Source organism: Homo sapiens, chromosome 11, assembly GCF_000001405.40.
Source record: "Homo sapiens chromosome 11, GRCh38.p14 Primary Assembly".
NCBI classification, from domain to species: Eukaryota; Metazoa; Chordata; class Mammalia; order Primates; family Hominidae; genus Homo; species Homo sapiens.
Genome location: NC_000011.10, coordinates 22278528 through 22302967, shown reverse-complemented (window position 1 = coordinate 22302967; position 24440 = coordinate 22278528). Strand labels below are relative to the sequence as shown.

The 24440-nt window shown below is 37.3% G+C and overlaps 1 protein-coding gene and 1 long non-coding RNA gene across 16 annotated transcripts in view, besides 4 other annotated features; one reads left to right on the top strand and one right to left on the bottom strand.

Moving 5' to 3' along the window:
- SLC17A6-DT (SLC17A6 divergent transcript) overlaps nucleotides 1–19238 on the top strand; it is a 54493-nt gene extending 35255 nt beyond the window's left edge. Inside the window, exon 4 of the long non-coding RNA NR_186351.1 lies at nucleotides 19144–19238. This is a non-coding gene — a long non-coding RNA (SLC17A6 divergent transcript). The remainder of the gene's footprint in view (nucleotides 1–19143) is intronic.
- Nucleotides 17157–18356: an enhancer, noted in NCBI's record as "MED14-independent group 3 enhancer chr11:22306158-22307357 (GRCh37/hg19 assembly coordinates)". NCBI's record gives its function as "activates an origin of replication core promoter dependent on BRD2, BRD4, P300/CBP and CDK7 cofactors, and independent of MED14, by STARR-seq in HCT116 cells {active_cell/tissue: HCT116}" and the evidence as "EXISTENCE:reporter gene assay evidence [ECO:0000049][PMID:35650434]".
- Nucleotides 17157–18393: a biological region, named in NCBI's record as "MED14-independent group 3 enhancer GRCh37_chr11:22306158-22307357".
- Nucleotides 17392–17891: an enhancer, noted in NCBI's record as "H3K4me1 hESC enhancer chr11:22306623-22307122 (GRCh37/hg19 assembly coordinates)". NCBI's record gives its function as "activates a minimal SCP1, AML or CMV promoter by ChIP-STARR-seq in naive H9 embryonic stem cells {active_cell/tissue: H9 hESC(naive)}" and the evidence as "EXISTENCE:reporter gene assay evidence [ECO:0000049][PMID:30033119]".
- Nucleotides 17892–18393: an enhancer, noted in NCBI's record as "H3K4me1 hESC enhancer chr11:22306121-22306622 (GRCh37/hg19 assembly coordinates)". NCBI's record gives its function as "activates a minimal SCP1, AML or CMV promoter by ChIP-STARR-seq in naive and primed H9 embryonic stem cells {active_cell/tissue: H9 hESC(naive and primed)}" and the evidence as "EXISTENCE:reporter gene assay evidence [ECO:0000049][PMID:30033119]".
- The window catches only part of ANO5 (anoctamin 5), a 90885-nt gene continuing 86055 nt past the window's right edge, over nucleotides 19611–24440 (bottom strand). For all 15 annotated transcript variants that reach the window (XM_005252822.5, XM_047426522.1, NM_001441294.1 and 12 more), the window contains one exon: nucleotides 19611–23424. In XM_005252822.5, the coding sequence (XP_005252879.1) occupies nucleotides 23203–23424 (222 nt within the window). In that variant the 3' untranslated portion in view covers nucleotides 19611–23202. The remainder of the gene's footprint in view (nucleotides 23425–24440) is intronic.

The window sequence follows — 24440 nt, the reverse complement described above, 5'->3', positions numbered from 1 at the left end:
ACAAAATGTCATTAGTTTTTTTAAACTTTATGTTTTGAAATAATTTCAGACTTACAGAAGAATTGCATCTATAGTGCTACCCTTTACCCAGCTTTCTCTAATATTAGTGCCTTACACAACTGTAGTACAATTTTCAAAAGCAGGGAATTAACATTGATACAATAGGATTAGCTACACTCTACACCTATTTTCATCTCACTAGTTTTCTCATTGATGTCCTTTTTCAAGTCTAAGATCCAGCCCCAGATCCCATATTTCATTTAGTAGTTGTCAAGTCTCTTTATTCTCCTCTAATCTGTCAGTTAGCTGTTCATTCTGTTTTGATGATTTAATCCTTTAGTAGAATGTATCTCAATTTGACTTTGTCTGATTTTTTTTTCATAATTAGATTGAGGTAATGCCTTTTTGGCAAGAATACCAAAGTACTGATGTGTCCTCAGTGCCTTATACTGGGATACATGATATTAATATGTGTTATTACTGGTGATGTTAATCTTGATTACTTGGTTAAAGTAGTGTATGACAAGTTTCTCTATTGCAAAGTTGTTATTTTTTTCTCTTTGAATTAAATAAATACATTGTGGGTGGTGATACTTTAAGTCTTTTCAAATGTCCTATTTTTATCATGCTTTCTCCTATTAATTTTAGCCTTTAACAATTATTTCTGTGGTTTATGTTTAATATGATTTGCCTCTCTGATTCCTTCCAATTTATTAGTTGGAATTCTTCAATATATTTTCCCTCATTTGTTAATTTATTCAATTATTTGTTTGTATCAGTGTTAACTACTGGGTATTATTATTATTATTATTAATTTTGTTGCTCTAATTTTTCCAAGTTTAGCTATTAGGAGTTCCTTCAGGTTGACTTCTGTGTCCTTTGACACGTCCCATCCTTGAGCACTCTTACTTTCTGTCACCAAAAAATGTTTGAGATTCCTCTTGTATTCTCTCTGCTCTAGCCTTTAGAATCAAATATTTTTCACCAGAGTCCACTCAGGCTAGATTGTAGTCAGCACTACTGTAGTGTCATTGTTTCCTGTGCTCTCTCAGAGAACGTAACTAGAAAATATATGCATGTACATTAAAATATGCACATCTACATTTTTTATATTTGTCTATCATTTATCTAATCTATCATGAGTATTTTGTTACCTTTAGTTCCGACTTAAAACCGTAGAGTTCATTTCTGCTTTTCTCTTTCTGTTATTTATAACTTCTTTCTCTGGCAGTGATAAACCCTATTCTCATTATCCACATTATATTTACTTATTTTTCAATTCTAGTATATACATAAATAATTTCAGAATTGCCAGGTCATATTCCTGTGAGAAAGACATTTACTAACTAGAGTATAATATGTAAGTATACTTCTTTCTGTATTTAGCCTTACAGTATAGAGTCAAATTACATTGTTTTCCAGGTACTTAGGTTATTTTTTTTCTTCCCCATGCCCTGTAAAGTGGATTTATTATTCACTTTTAATATAGTTGTTTATTTTTAAATTTGTATTCCACCTGGAGTTTCTACCCTACATCCTGATGGACTTCTTTCTTTTTTAATTTCAAGGTTTGTGAAATATTACCATACTTATAACAGTCAGAGGTATTGAAAAGGTATGCCTGGAAAACATTGTTCCTCATCATTCCTTCTACCAAATATTTATTCTATTCTCATCATTTCCTGTAGGTAAGTAATATCATTAGTTTCTGGTTTATTCTTCTATTTCTTTTGCAAAAATTAGCAGATATACGATACACATATATATTTGTTTTTTATCCAATTCGCTTTTGTACCAAGTGTAGCACACCACAGGACCTCTTTTGGATTTTGCTTTTCTCACATAACTGTGTATCTTGCAAATCATTCCATATCCATTCAGACAGATCTCTTTATTCTTTTTTACACAACTGAATAATATTCCATTGTGTGGATGTGTTACAGTTTACTTAAGCACTCACTGTTCTATGTATGAACATTTATACTGTTTTTAATATTTTGCAATTATAAACAGTGTTGTAAAGAATAACCTATTGCATATGTATTTTTGTATTGTTCAAGATATGTCTTTAGGATAGATTTCTAGAAGAAGAAATGCTAGGTGAAAAAAATAAATGCATATGTAGTTTTGTTGGGTGTTACAACCATGATAATATTTCACAAACCTTGAAATAAAAAGAAATTAAAATCAATCAGGATGTAGAATAGAACCCCCAAATGGAATAAAAGCAAAACGATAGGCCGGGCACGGTGGCTCACACCTGTAATCTCAGCACTTTGGGAGTTGGAGGTGGGCGGATCATGAGGTCAGGAGATCTAGACCATCCTGGCTAACACGGTGAAACCCCGTTTCTACTAAAAGTACAAAAAATTAGCCAGGCGTGGTGGTGGGCGCCTGTAGTCCCAGCTACTCGGGAGGCTGAGGCAGGAGAATGGCGAGAACACAGGAGGCAGAGCTTGCAGTGAGCCGAGATCGCGCCACTGCACTCCAGCCTGGGCAACAGAGCGAGACTCCGTCTCAAAAAAAAAAAAAAAAAAAAAAAAAAAATGCTAAACGATAAATTATCTTCTCAGTGGGTTGTACAGTTTATATCTCACTAGGAACATAAAAGAGTGCCTTTTTCCCCATAGCCTCATAAAAAGTTCGTCATCAAACTTAAATGTTTACAAATCTGATAGGTGAAAAATGCTGCCTCAGTGTTGTTTCAATTTGCATTCCTCTAATTATAAGTTCAACACTTTTCATATATTTGAGGACCATTTTTATATATTTTTCATTAATTATCTGTTCATTTCTTTGTCCCATTTTTTCTATAGGCCCTCAGTCCTCTGTACTTTAATTTTTAGGGTTCTTTATGAAATAGAGATATTTGTCCTTTGTCTAAGTTGCAAATATTTTCTCCCAGTTGGTCATTTCCCTTATGGTACCTTTGTAATGCATTTTTAAAATTTTTTACAAAATCAACTTTACCAATCTTTTGCCAATCCAGTGTCTTTGGATTTTGAGTCATGGTTATGAGGCTCTTTTGAAGTAGCACATTCTTTGAACTCCCTTCCTTGCATTCTGTGTTCTGACCTGCCCAGACACTTTTCGAGTATTTTTAGGCTTTGATGTACTCAATTTGGGGGCAGCACTTTTACATCAACCTTAGGCCCCTTTGATAGCTTTCATTTTGTCTTCCCTGTGGTTTTTCCATTTGTTTGTTTCTGGTCTAACTTCGTTCACAGTAAAGCCTTGCTGTAGGATGGGTGTAGAGCAGGAATATGAAAGATCATTAACTGGGATTTGGCGACTTCTCTACCTTTACTCACAGTTAATGTGAAATTTCAACCATTCTCTTTCTTCAAGATATGCTAAAGCATGCATTTTGTATACAGTTACTTTTCTCTTTTTGCTGTTTTGTATTGTTTTGGAAGAAAATATTGACAGACTGGTGGCACTACTATTATCTTCAGCTACCCTGAAGTCTATAGTTTGTGTCACTTTTTAAATATCAATATTATATCAAGGCTCATGTTCTCTTTTAATCTACAACTGCATTCCTCCTCCATTTTTCATTACTTTTTTTTTATGGCTATAGGTCTTATAGGAGTATACTATATTCTGCATTGGTTTCATTGTTCCTCACCGTGTTTGTGCTTCTATGTCCTAGAGTTCCTATAAACTAGAAGTCTAAACATACCTCAGATGTTATGCTCTGTACTATATTTTTATATCTTATTGTATAATATGATCTTAAGTTGTTCCACAATTAGTGATGCTAAGTTTGATGATCAGGAAAAGGTGGATAACCATAAGATTTTTCCATTGTAAAAATACATAGTTTTCTTTGCAATTAGCAAGCGGTATGTGAAGTGATACTTTGGCACCATGTAAATATTCTCTGCTCACAAACCCTTTTACTATATAGTATATTTAACAATTAATGACAATACTTTCACAGATAATACATGAGAGGACTGCAAAATAATGATTTTTTTTTCTTTTTTTTGAGACAGAGTTTTGCTCGTGTTGCCCAGGCTGGAGTGCAATGGCGCTATCTCCGGCTCACGGCAAGCTCGCCTCCCGGGTTCAAGCCATTCTCCTACCTCAGCCTCCCGAGTAGCTGGGATTACAGGCATGTGCCACCACACTCGGCTAATTTTGTATTTTTAGCAGAGATGGAGTTTCTCCATGTTGGTCAGGGTGGTCTCGAACTCCCAACCTCAGGTGATCCGCCTGACTCGGCCTCCTGAAGTGCTGGGATTACAGGCATGAGCCACCTCGCCCGGCCCAAAATAGTGATTTTTAAAATCACTTCTTCCAAGTTTATTAGCCGACATTCTTTAAGTTTTCTAAGTGTTTTATAGACCCAATATATATATATATTCAATGTGCTGTAATCATATATAGTTAGTATGTTTTTTGATGCTCAGACTTTCTCAACTTTGGCCATAAGGCTCTCCTTCAGGCTGACTCTGTGTGTGTGTGTGTGTGTGTGTGTGTGTGTGTGTGCGCGTTTGTGTTGAGCCAGAGTCTCGCTCTGTCACCCAGGCTAGAGTGCCATGACATGATCTTGGCTAACTGCAACTCCCCTCCCCGCCCCCTCCCCATAAGCCCCAACCTGGCTCAAGAGGTCTCCCACCTCAGCCTCCCAAATACCTGGGACTATAAGTGAGCGCCACCACACCTGGGTAATTTTTGTAGTATTTTGTAGAGACAGGGTTTTGCCACATTGCACAGGCTTGTCTCAGACTCTTTTGACGTGATCCATCAGTGCTTAAATTTTCCTTTCTCCTTAAAAATGAATTTAAGGTTTATCTTATTTTCTTCCATAAACTTGGAGTCAATCTCTTTTTTTTTTTTTTTTAATGGGGAGACCTATTTAGAAGCCAAGATCTGGGTGCTACATGTCCTTATTTATAATAGGTTCTAATTTCTTCTTGACACTTTCAGTAGATATATGCAAGACATTAAATAATCATGAGTTCATGTGGACAGTTCTCTTTCAAATTTAATATTACAGCTTAAAAAACTGATTTTACATTTTTATTTTTTAATTGATAATTTTCATTCCTAATATAAACATATTTATGTGTTTGTATAAATGAAATAGTTTCAAACTCAAAATACCAACATTTCTACCAACAATAAAACTACAGAGTGAAGTTTGCGGTATCTTTGCAGTTCTTTTTATATTTAGAACATACCGCACTAAGGATACACAGAATTCTATGCACCAAATCACTTGAAATAATTATTTTTCTTTTGTTCAGTTTGTTTAATTTCCAACATATAGTGTGATTTTTTTAAAAAATTTTGATCTCTCTTTTTTATGTTTAAAATATTTACAGGGTTCAAAAATCAAAACATTACTATCAAAGAAGATGTATTTCCATTTTTATTTTTAAGGGTCCATCTACCACCCTTAGGTAACAATTTATATTAGAGGTTTCTTTCTTTCTTTGTAATTGACAAGTGAAGTGTGCATGTATTTATGGTGTCCAATATAATGCTTTAATATAGGTATGCATTGTGGAATGACTCTATCAAGCTATTCTACATAGACATTATCTCACATACCTTTTTTGTGGTGAAAACACTTAAAATCTACTCTCTTAGCAATTTTCAGCTACACAATATATTTATTAGCTCATTGCCATGACATACAACAGGTCTCTTAAATTTACGTCTCCTGTCTAACTTCATGTTCCTTGATCTACATCTCCCCAATACCCCACCTGCCCCAGCCTCTGGTAACCACCATTTTACTCTCTCTTCCTATGAGTTCAACTATTTTATACTACACTTATAAGTGAGATCATGTAGTATTTGTCTATTTATTCCTGCCTTATTTTTCTTGACATAATGTCATCCCAGTTCATTCATGTTGTAGCAAGTGGCAGGATTTCTTTCTATTTTAAGGATGAATAGTATCACGTTGTGTTTATATACTACATTTTCTTTATCCATTCTTCCAATGATAGACACTTAGATTTATTCCATATCTTGGGTATTGTGAACGGTACTGCAATGAACATAGGAGTGCAGATATCTCATTGACATACTGATGTCATTTTCTTTGGATACATATCCAGTAGTGGGATTGCTGGATCATATGATAGTTCGATTTTTAATGTTTTGAGGAGCTTCCATACTGTTTTCCGTAATGGCTGTCCTAATTTACACTCCACCCCCAACAGTGTGCAAGTGTTCCCTTTTCTCCACATTCTTGATAACACTTGTTATCTCTTCTCTTTTTGATAACCATTTGACAGGTTTGAGGTAATATGTCATTGTGATTTTAATTTGCACTTCTCTTATGATCAGTGATTTTGAGCATTTTTCATATATCTGCTTTCCATTTGTATTATTCTTTTGAGAATGTCTATTCAGATCCTTCACCTATTTTAAAAATCTAGTGATCTGTTCCTTACTATTGATTTGTTTGCATTCCTTATATATTTTTAGATGCCAATCTCTTATCATATGCATGATTTGCAAGTATATTCTCCCATTTTATCATATTAGTTTTTTGTTTATAATTCCAGTATTTATTTTTTCCTTCACAGTTCTTTAGTGTGTATTTCCTGTAAATACAGTTTCTGTAGAAACTCAATACAACCTTCAAAATTAGGATATTAACATTGACACATTTCTCCAATTTAATCCTCAGATAATGTTCAAGTATTACCAATTACACCAATCTTGGTTTTTGTAGCAAAAACATCTGGGTCATAATGACACGTTGTGTTTGCCAAATTTGTCAAATTTCTTCAGTATACTTTGATCTGGGATAGTTCGTTAGTCTTTTCATGAGTTTTATGTCTTTGCTACTTTGAGAATTAGAGTTATTTAGTAGAACGCCCTTCGGGTTGGGTTTGTTCAATGTTTATTCATGATTAAATTCAGGTTATGCATTTTAAAGCTGGCTCCTATATTCTTTTTACAACACGTTGAATCATCCTTTGAGAATTTTCTTGCTTTCTAGCATAACGAAATGTTTCAGGGTCACCTTGGACATTGCCTGCCCCCGTCTTGCCATTTTGTATGTGAGTGTATGTACTCACATTTATATTTATTTCTATATCTACATATGAAAAATCCTTAGTTCTATCCATTACCTCCAATTTCAAACACGAGAGGAGTCGTTCTAGGGTTCTCCTTTAGAGATCTGTAACTCCCATCTCCAACTGACTATATCCTTAGTGTTTTCACATACTTGATTAAGCCTTTTTATATAACCTATCTCTCCCATCACTCCTACCACCTCTACCACCCCTTCCTCAATGTGCATGACCTCCTCATTCCTCTCTGAGCCCCAAACCTCAAATCAGCCACCACTATCACAGCCTGCAAGAATGGCGTCCCATCCTCGTAATGCTTCACATTGTTTCCGACACTTCCAGATAATTTGGCTACCTGTGTGAGTCGCAGCTCACCCCGTCCAGCTCCATCACACTATGTCAGGTCATGACAAGTTCCCTTCCCTCAGCCCAGTGTCAGGACTATGTGGGTACTCTCTTCACATCAGTTGGGCCCCAAAACTCCATGTCATGTTACCAGCATGTGTATCCACACTCCTTGCCACAATCTGACTCTCATTTCTTCCTCCAGGCTACACTTTTTCAGGGATGTGATCATCACCGGGTTTGGGCTCTGACTCTCTATGCTGGCTTGGCATTGCATAGATGCCCTCCTCACCCTTTTAGGATCTAATACCTACAGCCAGGACCACCTTCATCCTGTGTGAATGCACTTATGCCATTCCTACCATTCCTGGACTAACTCCCCGAATCAAGCTGTTCTCCCATGAATTCACCAACCTCACTCTGTTTGGGCTTTGAGACCCCTACTCTGGGTGCCCCTTTTTTGGCAAAGTCTGTTTGGGCTTTGTGACCCCTACTCTGGGGTGCCCCATTTTTGACAAAGTCTCTTTGATCTGCTTGGCCTTTGAAACCTCACGCTGAGTCACCCCTCTGCGTGAATTTTTTTCACACACTTGAATTCTCTAAAAACAGTGATTTAGCTGATTCCAACAAATTTGAAAATGTAAATATTCATTTTTATTTTCAAATGTTATCTAATATGCATTGAGATTTCTTCTCTGATCCATATATATTGAGAACTGTGTTTTGCTTGCTTAGTTTCCAAACATTTTGGTGATTTTCTAGTTATCTTTCTGCTATTGAGTTCTAGTTTAATTCACTATAGTCAGAGAAATACTCTAAATGACTTCAGTCCTTTGAAATTAATTTCATCTGCCTTAAGGTCCAGGATATGTTTCATTTTGGAAATCTTCCATGTACACTTAAAAATGTGCATGTTGCCATTGTTGCATGTTATTTGTCATGTTTGTATGTATATATATGTGTGTGTATATACATTATATATGCATATATATGTATTTGTCAGTTGTCAAATTGATTGATTGTACAGTTTAAATATTCCATATCCTATTGCATTTGTTTCTGGTGGTCTATCAGTCATTAAGAGCATGTTAACATCTCCAGATAAAATGGAGGGTTTGGCCAGGCGTGATGGCTCACACCTGTAATCCCAGCACTTTGGGAAGCTGAGGTGGGCAGATCACGAGGTCAGGAGATCAAGACCATCCTGGCTAACACGGTGAAACCCCGTCTCTACTAAAAATACAAAAAAATTAGCCGGGCGTGGTGGCGGGCACCTGTAGTCCCAGCTACTCGGGAGGCTGAGGCAGGAGAATGGCATGAACCCGGGAGACGGAGCTTGCAGTGAGCCGAGATTGCGCCACCGCACTCCAGCCTGGGCGACAGAGCCAGACTCCAATTCAAAAATAAATAAATAAATAAAAAATGGTGGGTTTACCATCTCTCAGTTCTGTCAACATTTCTTGATACGTTTTCCTGTATGTTATTAAATACATGTTTAGATTAGTTATGCATTCTTCTTAAATTCATCACTTTATCATTATACAATATCTCAATCTCTACTATTACACCTTGCCTCACATTCTACTTTGTCTGATGTTAGTATAGATCAATTTTATCTTATTTTAGTGTTTCCAAGGAATTTTTTTTTTCCACATTATGTTCATTTCAACCCTTCTGTGTCTTTATATTTAATGTCTCCACAGAAAGTACTGAAATTTTACCAGGGCTTTCTATACTTGCTAGACCCTAAATATTTCTCCCAAGATATAAATCTGTTGAAAGCTCCACAGAACCTCCCTTTCAGCCTTTTTTTTACCTCTTGAATCTACAGTTTCCTCAAGGGAAAATATTGTCACAAAAAACAGGCTTACTTCTCTGCTTTTCTCTCCTAGTTATTGTTTCTATAAAAACCCTTTGTCTTATATTTTTCGGATGCTTTTAATCATTTTAAAAAACATGTTACCCAGTTTTTCTAGTGGTTCTTGGGGTTGCAATAGTCTGAAAAACTGAGCTATTATTGCTGGAATTGTGCTTTCTTATTGCTAATTATAAAGAGAACAAGTCTAATATGTTCCCATTAAGGATATTGTTTTCTGTATACTTTTCATTAACTTCTCCTCTTAAAATGATTTTCCCTTCCTTTTACTTTGTTTATATTTCTGTTCTCTAACTTCTTTAGATGCTTCTTTTTCCTGTCTTTTTTTAATAGCCTAATTAAATGCTATACAGTTCTTCTAAAACCACCACAAAATATATTTAGTGTATCCCACAAAATTTGAGCTGTACAGTATTTTTGGTACAATGTAATTAAAAATTATCTTCTAAACTTTGCTTTGATTACTTTTTTGTGTTATTTCAAGATTTGTTACATAATTTTTGTAGCCATCTTTTTATTTTTTATAATTTCATTTTATTGTGGACAGAGAAAATCATCTGATTTATATTGGTCATTTGAAATTTGCTGTTTTTTGTTGTTGTTGTTGTTTGTTTTTTGGGTGGGGCTTGGTATTTGACCAGATTTTGTTAGTGTTTAGAATGTACTTGTAAAGAAATTCCTTTTCCTTATTGAGCACAACATTTAATGAAAGCACATTGTGTGTGTTTTATTAATCATTTTCTTCAAATGGCCAGTAGCCTTACTAAGTGAAGCTGGAACTGCACTGCCCAGAAGTCTTTTCTTTATCTGGTATCAGGTTAGATTTGCACAAGAAGCAAACAGAGGTGAAGCAACAGAAAGACTTCTTTCTGGTCTTTGAGGACAGATGTGATAAAGGACATGCAAATTGGAGTCTAGTGGGCTCTATGCTCTCCTCACTCTTTTTCACTCCATGTCCAACTATTCCTGACCAGCAGCGCGCTCCAAGTTTGTGTATGATTCTTGGCTGCAGATTCATAGAAAGAATAGCTAGACATACGTGTGCATGTGTCTTTATAGCAGCATGATTTATAGTCATTTGGGTATATACCCAGTAATGGGATGGCTGGGTCAAATGGTATTTCCAGTTCTAGATCCCTGAGGAATCGCCACACTGACTTCCACAATGGTTGAACTAGTTTACAGTCCCACCAACAGTGTAAAAGTGTTCCTATTTCTCCAAATCCTCTCCAGCACCTGTTGTTTCCTGACTTTTTAATGATCGCCATTCTAACTGGTGTGAGATGGTATCTAATTGTGGTTTTGATTTGCATTTCTCTGATGGCCAGTGATGATGAGCATTTTTTCATGTGTTTTTTGGCTGCATAAATGTCTTCTTTTGAGAAGTGTCTGTTCACGTCCTTCACCCACTTTTTGATGGGGTTGTTTTTTTCTTGTAAATTTGTTGGAGTTCATTGTAGATTCTGGATATTAGCCCTTTGTCAGATGAGTAGGTTGCAAAAATTTTCTCCCATTTTGTAGGTTGCCTGTTCACTCTGATGGTAGTTTCTTTTGCTGTGCAGAAGCTCTTGAGTTTAATTAGATCCCATTTGTGAATTTTGTCTTTTGTTGCCATTGCTTTTGGTGTTTTAGACATGAAGTCCTTGCCCATGCCTATGTCCTGAATGGTAATGCCTAGCATTATTCACAATAGCAAAGACTTGCAACCAACCCAAATGTCCAACAGTGATAGACTGGATTAAGAAAATGTGGCACATACACACCATGGAATACTATGCAGCCATAAAAAATGATGAGTTCATGTCCTTTGTAGGGACATGGATGAAATTGGAAAACATCATTGTCAGTAAACTATCGCAAGAACAAAGAACCAAACACCGCATATTCTCACTCATAGGTGGGAATTGAACAATGAGCTCACATGGACACAGGAAGGGGAATATCACACTCTGAGGACTGTTGTGGGGTGGGGGGATGGGGGAGGGATAGCATTGGGAGATATACCTAATGCTAGATGACGAGTTAGTGGGTGCAGCGCACCACCATGGCACATGTATACATATGTGAGTAACCTGCACAATGTGCACATGTACCCTAGAACTTAAAGTATAATTTAAAAAAAAAAAAAAAAGAATAGCTAGACAATTGTAACACTTCCCCATAGACTTCTTCATTAGTTTTCCTTCCTAGTCTCACTTTAGCACATCACATGGATATCTCTGCAAGCTTCAACTTCTCTACCCATGGCAGTGTTTCAGGAGAGCTGAATGGTTCTTCTTCTCTGACTCTCTGTATTAGTCCATTTTTATACTGCTGTGAAGAAATACCCAAGACTGGGCAATTTATTAAAAAATAAAGAGTTTTAATGGACTCACAGTTCCACATCGCTGGGGAGGCCTCAAAATCATGGTGGAAGGTGAAGGAGAAGCAAAGGCATGTCTTATATGGCAGTAGCCAAGAGAGCATATGCAGGGGAACTGCCCTTTAAAAAACCATCAGATCTTGTGAGACTTATTCATTACCATGAGAACAGCATGGGAAAAACCCATCCCCATGATTCAGTTACCTCCTACTGGGTCCCTCTCAGGACACATGGGGATTATGGGAGCTATATTTCAAGATGAAATTTGGGTGGGGACACAGCCAAACAATATTACCCTCCAAATCTTTCTTCCAGACCGTTGCTTTCCAGTTTCTTTCACAATTTCAAAAGGCCTGTTTTCTATAAACAACCCTTTATTCCATAATATTCCTAACAGATTTGCTTTCTTGATTAAATCTTGTACATTAAACTATTTATTCTATTTGTTCTTAGAATGTGATATATCCACCATAATTTCTGTCCAGTCTACACCTTTATTTTCCTAAATATATTGGAAAAGCAAATTAATTTACTACTTCCTTTTTTTTTCTTTTTTTTCTTTTATTATACTTTAAGTTTTAGGGTACCTGTGCACATTGTGCAGGTTAGTTACATACGTATACATGTGCCATGCTGGTGTGCTGCACCCACTAACTCGTCATCTAGCATTAGGTATATCTCCCAATGCTATCCCTCCCCCCTCCCCCCACCCCACCACAGTCCCCAGAGTGTGATATTCCCCTTCCTGTGTCCATGTGAACACATTGTTCAATTCCCACCAATGAGTGAGAATATGCAGTGTTTGGTTTTTTGTTCTTGAGATAGTTTACTGAGAATGATGATTTCCAATTTCATCCATGTCCCTACAAAGGACATGAACTCATCATTTTTTATGGCTGCATAGTATTCCATGGTGTATATGTGCCACATTTTCTTAATCCAGTCTATCATTGATGGACATTTGGGTTGGTTCCAAGTCTTTGCTATTGTGAATAGTGCCGCAATAAACATACGTGTGCATGTGTCTTTATAGGAGCATGATTTATAGTCCTTTGCGTATATAACCAGTAATGGGATGGCTGGGTCAAATGGTATTTCTAGTTCTAGATCCCTGAGGAATCGCCACACTGACTTCCACAATGGTTGAACTAGTTTACAGTCCCACCAACAGTGTAAAAGTGTTCCTATTTCTCCACATCCTCTCCAGCACCTGTTGTTTCCTGACTTTTTAATGATTGCCATTCTAACTGGTGTGAGATGGTATCTAATTGTGGTTTTGATTTGCATTTCTCTGATGGCCAGTGATGATGAGCATTTTTTCATGTGTTTTTTGGCTGCATAAATGTCTTCTTTTGAGAAGTGTCTGTTCACGTCCTTCGCCCACTTTTTGATGGAGTTGTTTGTTTTTTTCTTGTAAATTTGTTTGAGTTCATTGTAGATTCTAGATATTAGCCCTTTGTCAGATGAGAAGGTTGCAAAAATTTTCTCCCATTTTGTAGGTTGCCTGTTCACTCTGATGGTAGTTTCTTTTGCTGTGCAGAAGCTCTTGAGTTTAATTAGATCCCATTTGTGAATTTTGTCTTTTGTTGCCATTGCTTTTGGTGTTTTGGACATGAAGTCCTTGCCCATGCCTATGTCCTGAATGGTAATGCCTAGGTTTTCTTCTAGGGTTTTTATGGTTTTAGGTCTAACTTTTAAGTCTTTAATCCATCTTGAATTGATTTTTGTATAAGGTGTAAGGAAGGGATCCAGTTTCAGCTTTCTACATATGGCTAGCCAGTTTTCCCAGCACCATTTATTAAATAGGGAATCCTTTCCCCATTGCTTGTTTTTCTCAGGTGTGTCAGATCAGATAGTTGTAGATATGTGGCGTTCTTTCTGAGGGCTCTGTTCTGTTCCATTTATCTATATCTCTGTTTTGGTACCAGTACCATGCTGTTTTGGTTACTGTAGCATTGCAGTATAGTTTGAAGTCAGGTAGCATGATGCCTCCAGCTTTGTTCTTTTGGCTTAGGATTGCCTTGGCGATGCAGGCTCTTTTTTGATTCCATATGAACTTTAAAGTAGTTTTTTCCAATTCTGTGAAGAAAGTCATTGGTAGCTTGATGGGGATGGCATTGAATCTGTAAATTACCTTGGGCAGTATGGCCATTTTCACGATATTGATTCTTCCTACCCATGAGCATGGAATGTTCTTCCCTTTGTTTGTATCCTCTTTTATTTCCTTGAGCAGTGGTTTGTAGTTCTCCTTGAAGAGGTGCTTCACATCCCTTGTAAGTTGGATTCCTAGGTATTTTATTCTCTTTGAAGCAATTGTGAATGGGAGTTCACTCATGATTTGGCTCTCTGTTTGTCTGTTATTGGTGTATAAGAATGCTTGTGACTTTTGTACATTGATTTTGTATCCTGAGACTTTGCTGAAGTTGCTTATCAGCTTAAGGAGATTTTGGGCTGAGACATTGGGGTTTTCTAGATATACCATGTCATCTGCAAACAGGGACAATTTGACTTCCTCTTTTCCTAATTGAATACCCTTTATTTCCTTCTCCTGCCTGATTGCCCTGGCCAGAACTTCCAACACTATGTTGAATAGGAGTGGTGAGAGAGGGCATCCCTGTCTTGTGCCAGTTTTCAAAGGGAATGCTTCCAGTTTTTGCCTATTCAGTATGATATTGGCTGTGGGTTTGTCATAGATAGCTCTTATTATTTTGAGATACGTCCCATCAATACCTAATTTATTGAGAGTTTTTAGCATGAAGGGTTGTTGAATTTTGTCAAAGGCTTTTTCTGCATCTATTGAGATAATCATGTGGTTTGTGTCTTTGGCTCTGTTTATATGCTGGATTACATTTATTGATTTGTGTATATTGAACCAGCCTTGCATCCCAGGGATGAAGCCCACTTGATCATGGTGGATAAGCTTTTTGATGTGCTGCTGGATTCGTTTTGCCAGTATTTTATTGAGGATTTTTGCATCAATGTTCATCAAGGATATTGGTCTAAAATTCTCTTTTTTGGTTGTGTCTCTGCCCGGCTTTGGTACCAGAATGATGCTGGCCTCATAAAATGAGTTAGGGAGGATTCCCTCTTTTTCTATTGATTGGAATAGTTTCAGAAGGAATGGTACCAGTTCCTCCTTGTACCTCTGGTAGAATTCGGCTGTGAATCCATCTGGTCCTGGACTCTTTTTGGTTGGTAAGCTTTTGATTATTGCCACAATTTCAGCTCCTGTTATTGGTCTATTCAGAGATTCAACTTCCTCCTGGTTTAGTCTTGGGAGAGTGTATGTATCGAGGAATGTATCCATTTCTTCTAGATTTTCTAGTTTATTTGCGTAGAGGTGTTTGTAGTATTCTCTGATGGTAGTTTGTATTTCTGTGGGATGGGTGGTGATATCCCCTTTATCATTTTTTATTGTGTCTATTTGATTCTTTTTTCTTTATTAGTCTTGCTAGTGGTCTATCAATTTTGTTGATCCTTTCAAAAAACCAGCTCCTGGATTCATTAATTTTTGGAAGTGTTTTTTGTGTCTCTATTTCCTTCAGTTCTGCTCTGATTTTAGTCATTTCTTGCCTTCTGCTAGCTTTAGAATGTGTTTGCTCTTGCTTTTCTAGTTCTTTTAATTGTGATGTTAGGGTGTCAATTTTGGATCTTTCCTGCTTTCTCTTGTGGGCATTTAGTGCTATAAATTTCCCTCTACACACTGCTTTGAATGCGTCCCAGAGATTCTGGTATGTTGTGTCTTTGTTCTCGTTGGTTTCAAAGAACATCTTTATTTCTGCCTTCATTTCGTTATGTATCCAGTAGTCATTCAGGAGCAGGTTGTTCAGTTTCCATGTAGTTGAGCGGTTTTGAGTGAGATTCTTAATCCTGAGTTCTAGTTTGATAGCACTGTGGTCTGAGAGATAGTTTGTTATAATTTCTGTTCTTTTACATTTGCTGAGGAGAGCTTTACTTCCAAGTATGTGGTCAATTTTGGAATAGGTGTGGTGTGGTGCTGAAAAAAATGTATATTCTGTTGATTTGGGGTGGAGAGTTCTGTAGATGTCTATTAGGTCCGTTTGGTGCAGAGCTGAGTTCAATTCCTGGGTATCCTTGTTGACTTTCTGTCTCGTTGATCTGTCTAATGTTGACAGTGGGGTGTTAAAGTCTCACATTATTAATGTGTGGGAGTCTAAGTATCTTTGTAGGTCACTCAGGACTTGCTTTATGAATCTAGGTGCTCCTGTATTGGGTGCATATGTATTTAGGATAGTTAGCTCTTCTTGTTGAATTGATCCCTTTACCATTATGTAATGGCCTTCTTTGTCTCTTTTGATCTTTGTTGGTTTAAAGTCTGTTTTGTCAGAGACTAGGATTGCAACCCCTGCCTTTTTTTGTTTTCCATTTGCTTGGTAGATCTTCCTCCATCCTTTTATTTTAAGCCTATGTGTGTCTCTGCCCATGAGATGGGTTTCCTGAATACAGCACACTGATGGGTCTTGACTCTTTATCCAATTTGCCAGTCTGTGTCTTTTAATTGGAGCATTTAGTCCATTTACATTTAAAGTTAATACTGTTATGTGTGAATTTGATCCTGTCATTATGATGTTAGCTGGTGATTTTGCTCGTTAGTTGATGCAGTTTCTTCCTAGTCTTGATGGTCTTTACATTTTGGCATGATTTTGCAGCGGCTGGTACCAGTTGTTCCTTTCCATGTTTAGCGCTTCCTTCAGGAGCTCTTTTAGGGCAGGCCTGGTGGTGACAAAATCTCTCAGCATTTGCTTGTCTGTAAAGTATTTTATTTCTCCTTCACTTATGAAGCTTCGTTTGGCTGGATATGAAATTCTGGGTTGAAAATTCTTTTCTTTAAGAATGTTGAATATTGGCCCCCACTCTCTTCTGGCTTGTAGGGTTTCTGCTGAGAGATCTGCTGTTAGTCTGATGGGCTTCCCTTTGAGGGTAACCCAACCTTTCTCTCTGGCTGCCCTTAACATTTTTTCCTTCATTTCAACTTTGGTGAATCTGACAATTATGTGTCTTGGAGTTGCTCTTCTCGAGGAGTATCTTTGTGGCGTTCTCTGTATTTCCTGAATCTGAACGTTGGCCTGCCTTGCTAGATTGGGGAAGTTCTCCTGGATAATATCCTGCAGAGTGTTTTCCAACTTGGTTCCATTCTCCCCGTCACTTTCAGGTACACCAATCAGATGTAGGTTTGGTCTTTTCACATAGTCCCATATTTCTTGGAGGCTTTGCTCATTTCTTTTTATTCTTTTTTCTCTAAACTTCCCTTCTTGCTTCATTTCATTCATTTCATCTTCCATTGCTGATACCCTTTCTTCCAGTTGATCGCATTGGCTCCTGAGGCTTCTGCATTCTTCACGTAGTTCTCGAGCCTTGGTTTTCAGCTCCATCAGCTCCTTTAAGCACTTCTCTGTATTGGTTATTCTAGTTATACATTCGCCTAAATTTTTTCAAAGTTTTCAACTTCTTTGCCTTTGGTTTGAATTTCCTCCCATAGCTCGGAGTAATTTGATCGTCTGAAGCCTTCTTCTCTCAGCTCGTCAAAGTCATTCTCCATCCAGCTTTGTTCCGTTGCTGGTGAGGAACTGCGTTCCTTTGGAGGAGGAGAGGCACTCTGCGTTTGAGTTTCCAGTTTTTCTGTTCTGTTTTTTCCCCATCTTTGTGGTTTTATCTACTTTTGGTCTTTGATGATGGTGATGTACAGATGGGTTTTTGGTGTGGATGTCCTTTCTGTTTGTTAGTTTTCCTTCTAACAGACAGGACCCTCAGCTCCAGGTCTGTTGGAATACCCTGCCGTGTGAGGTGTCAGTGTGCCCCTGCTGGGGGGTGCCTCCCAGTTAGGCTGCTTGGGGGTCAGGGGTCAGGGACCCACTTGAGGAGGCAGTCTGCCCGTTCTCAGATCTCCAGCTGTGTACTGGCAGAACCACTGCTCTCTTCAAAGCTGTCAGACAGGGACATTTAAGTCTGCAGAGGTTACTGCTGTCTTTTTGTTTGTCTGTGCCCTGCCCCCAGAGATGGAGCCTACAGAGGCAGGCAGGCCTCCTTGAGCTGTGGTGGGCCCCACCCAGTTCTAGCTTCCTGGCCGGCGCCCCTCCCCCAGCCTGGCTGCCGCCTTGCAGTTTGATCTCAGACTGCTGTGCTAGCAATCAGCGAGGCTCCCTGGGCGTAGCACCCTCCGAGCCAGGTGTGGGATATAATCTCGTGGTGCGCCGTTTTGTAAGCCGCTTCGAAAAGCGCAATATTCGCGTGGGAGTGACCCGATTTTCCAGGTGTGTCTGTCACCCCTTTCTTTGACTCGGAAAGGGAACTCCCTGACCCCTTGCGCTTCCCAAGTGAGGCAATGCCTCGCCCTGCTTCCGCTCGCGCACGGTGCACACACCCACTGACCTGCGCCCACTGTCTGGCACTCCCTAGTGAGATGAACCCGGTACCTCAGATGGAAATGCAGAAATCACCCGTCTTCTGCGTAGCTCACGCTGGGAGCTGTAGACGGGAGCTGTTCCTATTCGGCCATCTTGGCTCCTCTTCTACGTCTTCCTTTTTTTTTAAATAAGTAGAAACTAAAGGGCTAGAGCTCTTAGGCTGTAGGATTTTAACTACTTCCGTATACAAGAGAATTGGAACAGTTCTACAAATTTGGAAACCCTGACTACATGTCTTAATATACTTCTTTAATGGGCTGGAACAATAAATTAATGTTTAAGAGTCATTATAGAAATACTTTGGGCTAGGGAATTTGGCATCTTCTGAAATTCTCATCATTGTTATTGCTCCCCCACCCCCATCCCCCAAAACACACCTGGAGAGATTTTTTAAAGCATCTCTTCCAAAGACTCTGTTTCTAGAGATCTGGGATAAGACCTAGGGATATGCATTTCTAACAAGCAGTCCAGATAATTCTGATGAACAAGGTTGGGGACTTCTTTTTGAAAAACATGAGACTAGAAAAAATATATGGGAGCTATTTCTGTTAGCAGTGGCAGACATCCAAGTTACCTTGAGTGACCAGAGGCGAATCCGTATGGGTCCACAGTAAATTCAGTCCTTGCCTCCTCAGAAGAAAGAATTCAATTGAGGGGCATAAAGCAGAACAAGAGACCAAGGCATTTGGGGGCAGTAGTGGGAGTTTATTTTAAAAGGCTTTAGAATAGAAAAAAAAAAAAAAAAAAGGAAAATTCACTGGGAGGAGACCTAAGTGGGCACCTGAATCTCCAAGGGAGAAAAAAGAGGCATTTAACCACGATCCTGGGACTTTATCAGCTTGCCGCTTTCCCATGATTCTTCCCTTAGTGTGGGCTTTCTGCATCTGCAGTGCTCTCCTTACCCTTTGGAATTAAACATGTGCAGTGTGTTTAGGGAATTATACACACGCCCACCTGAGGCTTTCTTCCTTTTTCAGGTGGAGCGTGCCTGGAAGATCATACTTCGCCATTTTTGTCTCTTAACATGCATGCCCAGGAAGTTGCTTCTCCCTGGGGCCTGCATTCAAGTAACACGTTTAATGTTAACAGGTGTGGATCTTCAGGAGGTTGCCTCTCCCTGGCTGCAGAATTATCATTTTTAGAGAAGCAGTGTGATAATCGTGGAACCATCCCCTACATTCCTTGTAAGTGTGTCGGGAGCCCTCTCCTGCCCCGCTCATTGCCTATCTACCTGTAACATTTCAACATGCAATTTTTCTTTTTGGGGGCCTTTCTGTTCATGCTTATCTTCCAAAGTAGTAAAAATACAGAGACAAAACAACAAAAACTACCACCTTCTCAAATTTTTCTGGATTATCCAGCTTCTTACTTCAAGGAATTTACATCGTTAATATGCAAACATCTAAATGTGCAAAAATATGTAATTTCATGAGCTAAACACGTTATATATATATACACTTTCATGTTTCTAAACAACAAATATGACTAAAAAAGGAGTACTTACACTCCAAAAAGTCAACATTTTACTGGAAGAATAAATTGAGTTCATGTCAAAATGTAGTTTAATATTATTACTTTATTCACTCTGTGAATTTGATTCTCTTGAGATTTATGTACACATTATTTAAGAGAGCTTTTCCTGCATAACTGCATATTTCTCTTCCTGGAAAAAAAAACTTGGAAGAAAGAAATTTTAAAAAGGAGCACTCATTTCCTGTGTTAACACCAGGAGACATAATGTCACACATAGGAGAGATACACCCAGTCAAACCTTTGAGGAGGAGGAAGCAGGTATCTCATACCAATTAAACCACACTATTATTTTCTTTTTAACATTCTTATCATTTTTCACATAATGCTGAAATAAATAGAATACTGGAATTATTACACATAAAAGTAGAAGAGTCAAAATTTGTCTAGAAAAAGAATAACACAGTAGTTATACCGACTCATTGTGGCTGACTTGTAAGGCTGGCCAATGGTACTTTTTGCAATGCTATTTTTCTTCATAACATTCTTTAGTTGCATAACAACTATTAACAATTTAAAGGAAATATGAGAGAGTTTCTTTCAAAACAATAGATTCCCTTTTTGAATGATTGGTACAGATTTCTCACCTTCAACTGGAGTCAATCAACAGAGATCCATACCTACTCATAGCACCCAACACTACAAAACCACTTTGGAATCTAAGTTTTATTTTGACACATAATAGTGGTCACATTGAAATTTTCTTTAGCTTTTCTCTCACTTTCATTAGGTGTCTTTTTTAAGAGATATACCTCTTATCAACCACAGCTGGACCAAACTTCCTCGGAACAGCTCTTTCTTCCAAAGAAACACACAGGATTCATAAGGAAATAACTGTTTCCTCACTCCTCTTCTTTCTCATTTCCCGTCACTTTCATCTGTCCTCCTTTCCTTCTCCTCTTCTTTGATAACTTTGCATAATGGCTTGGTTAAAAGAAGAATGTTAAAGCTAAGAGGTGTCAAAAGACACAGCAAAAATAAGACAGCATTTCATTTAAGTAAAACAATCCTTTCTTAATGGATTCCTCTAAAATAAATGTCTTGAAGTAGATTTTGCTTCCTGTGTGCAAAGGAAAGTTGACGAAGGCAAGGATGAAAGAGGGCCTTTGAAAAGAGTTAAGTATTTTTTTGGCTTTGGCACTTAAAATTTTATTTCACATAAAATCTCAAATGTTCCCTAGAACATTCTGAAAACAAAACAAAACTATGCGCTTGGTCAGCAGATAAAATCACCTGCCATGCTGGTAATTATCAACTTACATGTGGTGGTTGGGTGCTCTTAATGCAGCCCTCCCATAAAAACCAATGGGTTTAATTAGATGAGACACATCTATCTGAATTGGTTTGGCTACTGATTTTGGTTAGCATGGTTTCAGGAAAGTGACGAATACCTGTATTTCATTTTTAAATCTGAAAAACAAAGATAAACTTCTTGATAAGAAATTTAAAGGTGAATAAAAAATATCAGTCCATAACATTTTAAAAGGAAAATATTTATCAATCCATGGGAATTATTTACTTATCTTAAAAACGATTTCTTCCCTTGCTGTTTTCTCCATTCACTTCCAGAAACCCAATAATTTAGTTGGTATATTTTAAAACTGCAGTGTACAGATAACTTTGTGAATTAAATTTGTTTTTATTTATCATACAGTCTACCTCTATGAATACTTTTAAGCCTTAAAAATTAAAGCTTATATTCAAGAAACCAATTTCCATGCTCTTTCTTATTTTTATCAGCACCCAGGAAGGAAGCAATATGAGCTGTGTGCACTGTACACTATAGCAATGGAGAATCTGATTTGACAAGCCAAAGATCCTACATTGGTTGCACACATCATGGTAAGCCTGACTTGTTTTTTCAAGAAAGAAATATTATCTTCTCTACATATGAAATCATCTTTCAATAATGAGATCATTTCAAATTACCCAAAATATTCATAAAGTCTACTCAGTGGATGACAAATCAGTACTGGGGATTAGTCCCAGTCCAAACTGGGGTGACTGTCTCATAGTTTATAAAATCCATAATCCCCAGTTCTGTATGCTTACTATTGATCAGTAGTTAATACCATCTGCCATATATTTAATACTGGCAGTACCACAATAATTTATTAGCATTAGATAATGAAATATTAGTTTTAAATATTGTGATAAAATTTCTTATGTGTGTGATTAAAAAACTATTCTTTTGGAGGTGAATTATAATTTGAAACTGGAGATTTAAATACTACATAACTGGACTATATCCCTCTAGTGCTAATAATTATATATATAGATGTGTGTGTGTGTATACACAAAGTTATACATATTTAGTTTTTTTAAGTGAAAACAGAACAAGGATTTTTGTGCATGTAACACAAGCCTAAATTTGAGAGGAATAATTCAACAAACATTTTTTCCCCCTTAGATTATTAAGTCCATGAACTCATTCTTAGTTGGTTGATTCACTTTTGGTTTTCAAGACTGTAGTTGTTATTACACTGACAATTTCATTAAGACAAGCTTACATTTAAGATGTTACATCACATCAAATCACTAGCTAACAACATGACTTCTTGTGTGTCAGAGGTATTGGAACAAGGCACTGAGCATTGTATAAGATGATACATCAATAGAAAAGGTTGTAAACTTATTAAAATATTTGCAATTATTTTAAAGCAAAGAAATGTTTATCATAAACAACTCGTATCTAACTTATACAAAAAGGCTTCATGATGTGAAATTGGCATTCCAGAAGAAAAGTGATTTTTAAGAAATAATTTAACAATTTTCTAAATTAAAATCAACAAATTAATCAATATACATTGTCCTGCATCCATTAACTACTAAGAAAACACATTTACTTCTGTATTGTGTCTTTGCTTGAGAACCTGAAGCAATCTAACAGCTTCATAATGTTGCTTTCCAGATAAGATCAGTCTTGAAACTATTATAACCAAATTATTATCTCTAAGAACCAAGTTGTTTTATGTTGAAACCCAAAATTTCAGTCTCGAGAAAAGGAATTCTGCCTTTACCAGGAAGAACTATCTGGGATTCTGATGGTAGTTGAATGTGTTAGGAATAAACCTCTGCTATGATACATTAACACCTTAATGTGTGAGTTTTCTTATGTCATCTGATCTTGGCAATTCATTTGCATATTTTAAAATGATAGGATATATAGGGCTCAGTCAGTCTCTTTGATCCATTTCTTTTTGCCCCAACATTTTTCTTAATGGGGAAGGAGGTATCAAATAACCCAAGAGAAGACCACAAAAATAAATAGATGCACTGGAAAGTGATGGGACAGCCCAAGGCCAGTGTTTCTTACTAAACTGCAAGACTCCATAATTTCCCAGTATTCTGATTCTACCTGCACTTTCAACAGTCATTTACAGCACCTCAGAAAACAACATCTGGAGAGGGCCCAGTCAATGAAGCAGAGAAGTAGTACATTTCCAACATCACAAAGTTGGCCTCTATAAAAGTGTATAAAAACTTTGAGTTTAAAAAAAAAAAGAAAAAAAAAAAAAAGAAAGGGTAAAATTGACACATGGCTTCTGGCGTCTGGCCCTAAAACCAGAGGATAAAGTGAAGTAAGGCAGATCACCTGCTGCTTCCTCACTATACTGATTAGAGTGTTGATTTAGCCAGCTGTGCTTTGTTTTCCTCAATCATGACATGCTTGGCAAATTCATTAGAATTAATTCCCAAGTTCTCTTTTAATTTGTTGAGCTCAAAATCATGGAGAATCTTGATAGTCATTAACTTTTCTCTCTTGATTCTCTCCACAACATCTTTTGGAACATCAGGTATCATCCAGGCCAGCAAAAATTTAACTAAAAACACAACATGCTAGAGGAAATATAAAGGAAAGATTAGACGCTGTTAGAGGTGTCACATGCTCAGCAGAAAGTCTTTACAAATCATTTCACTTATTTAAGAAACTGCTCAACATATGAGGTAGAAAGGCAAGGAAGAAGATATGGTCTCTGTCCTAGAACTTTCATACAAAGATCAACATCAAACAAATAAATATATACTTAAATATGTAACTAGCAATATTCCAGTTGAACATGATTATTGAATATACTCTTTATCACTGCTCCTTCCTGAAAACCTGATAAAATATTTATAAAGGAATTAGACTCAAAAGAGTGAAAAAGGCTAGCAAACTTGCAAATGGTGATGTGGTGACTGATAGTGGAAACCAAAAAGACAAAAGCCAATTTTGTTTCAGATGGTCACAAAAGTTCAGGAAAGAAGGCAATAAGGACTTTTGAAGGTATTAGTTTGAGTTGGAGTTGAAAACAAGAGGATTAGATACAAATCTGCATAAGGAGCACTTGAATTTTTGGAGCCTTTCTCCCATCTGTATCCAGGTATTCTTTCACTCCATGCTATACCCTGGAAGCAGCTGAAGAGTTTGTTTTCTGCAGAAATTATACCACAAAGCTGTGAATCCAGGGGCACCAGACACAGTGGAGGTATGACAACATATTGAAAAAAAAAAAAGTAAAAACAGTGAAATTCAGCACAATGAACTGTGAGATACATAGCCCCTCTGCCTTGCTCAGGTCTTAGAAAATAGGTAGCCACAAAATATCTCAATAGACAGCTATAAAGGGCTTTCTCTGGGAAAAATAACTATTCTGTAAAAGCAGAACTGTGGATGTCAAAATTTTGTAAGGATCCAGTGAAAATATCAGCTCACTACGTTATCAACCTACAGTGAAACCCACCAAGTGACATCACTCCTGTATGCACAAAATGCTTAAAATCAGCTTTTCACTTCCACACTCTTAAACATGAGCAGAACCACCAAATATGTAGGTAAGTCATCTCTGACATGGAAAAAAAAAAAAAAAGGA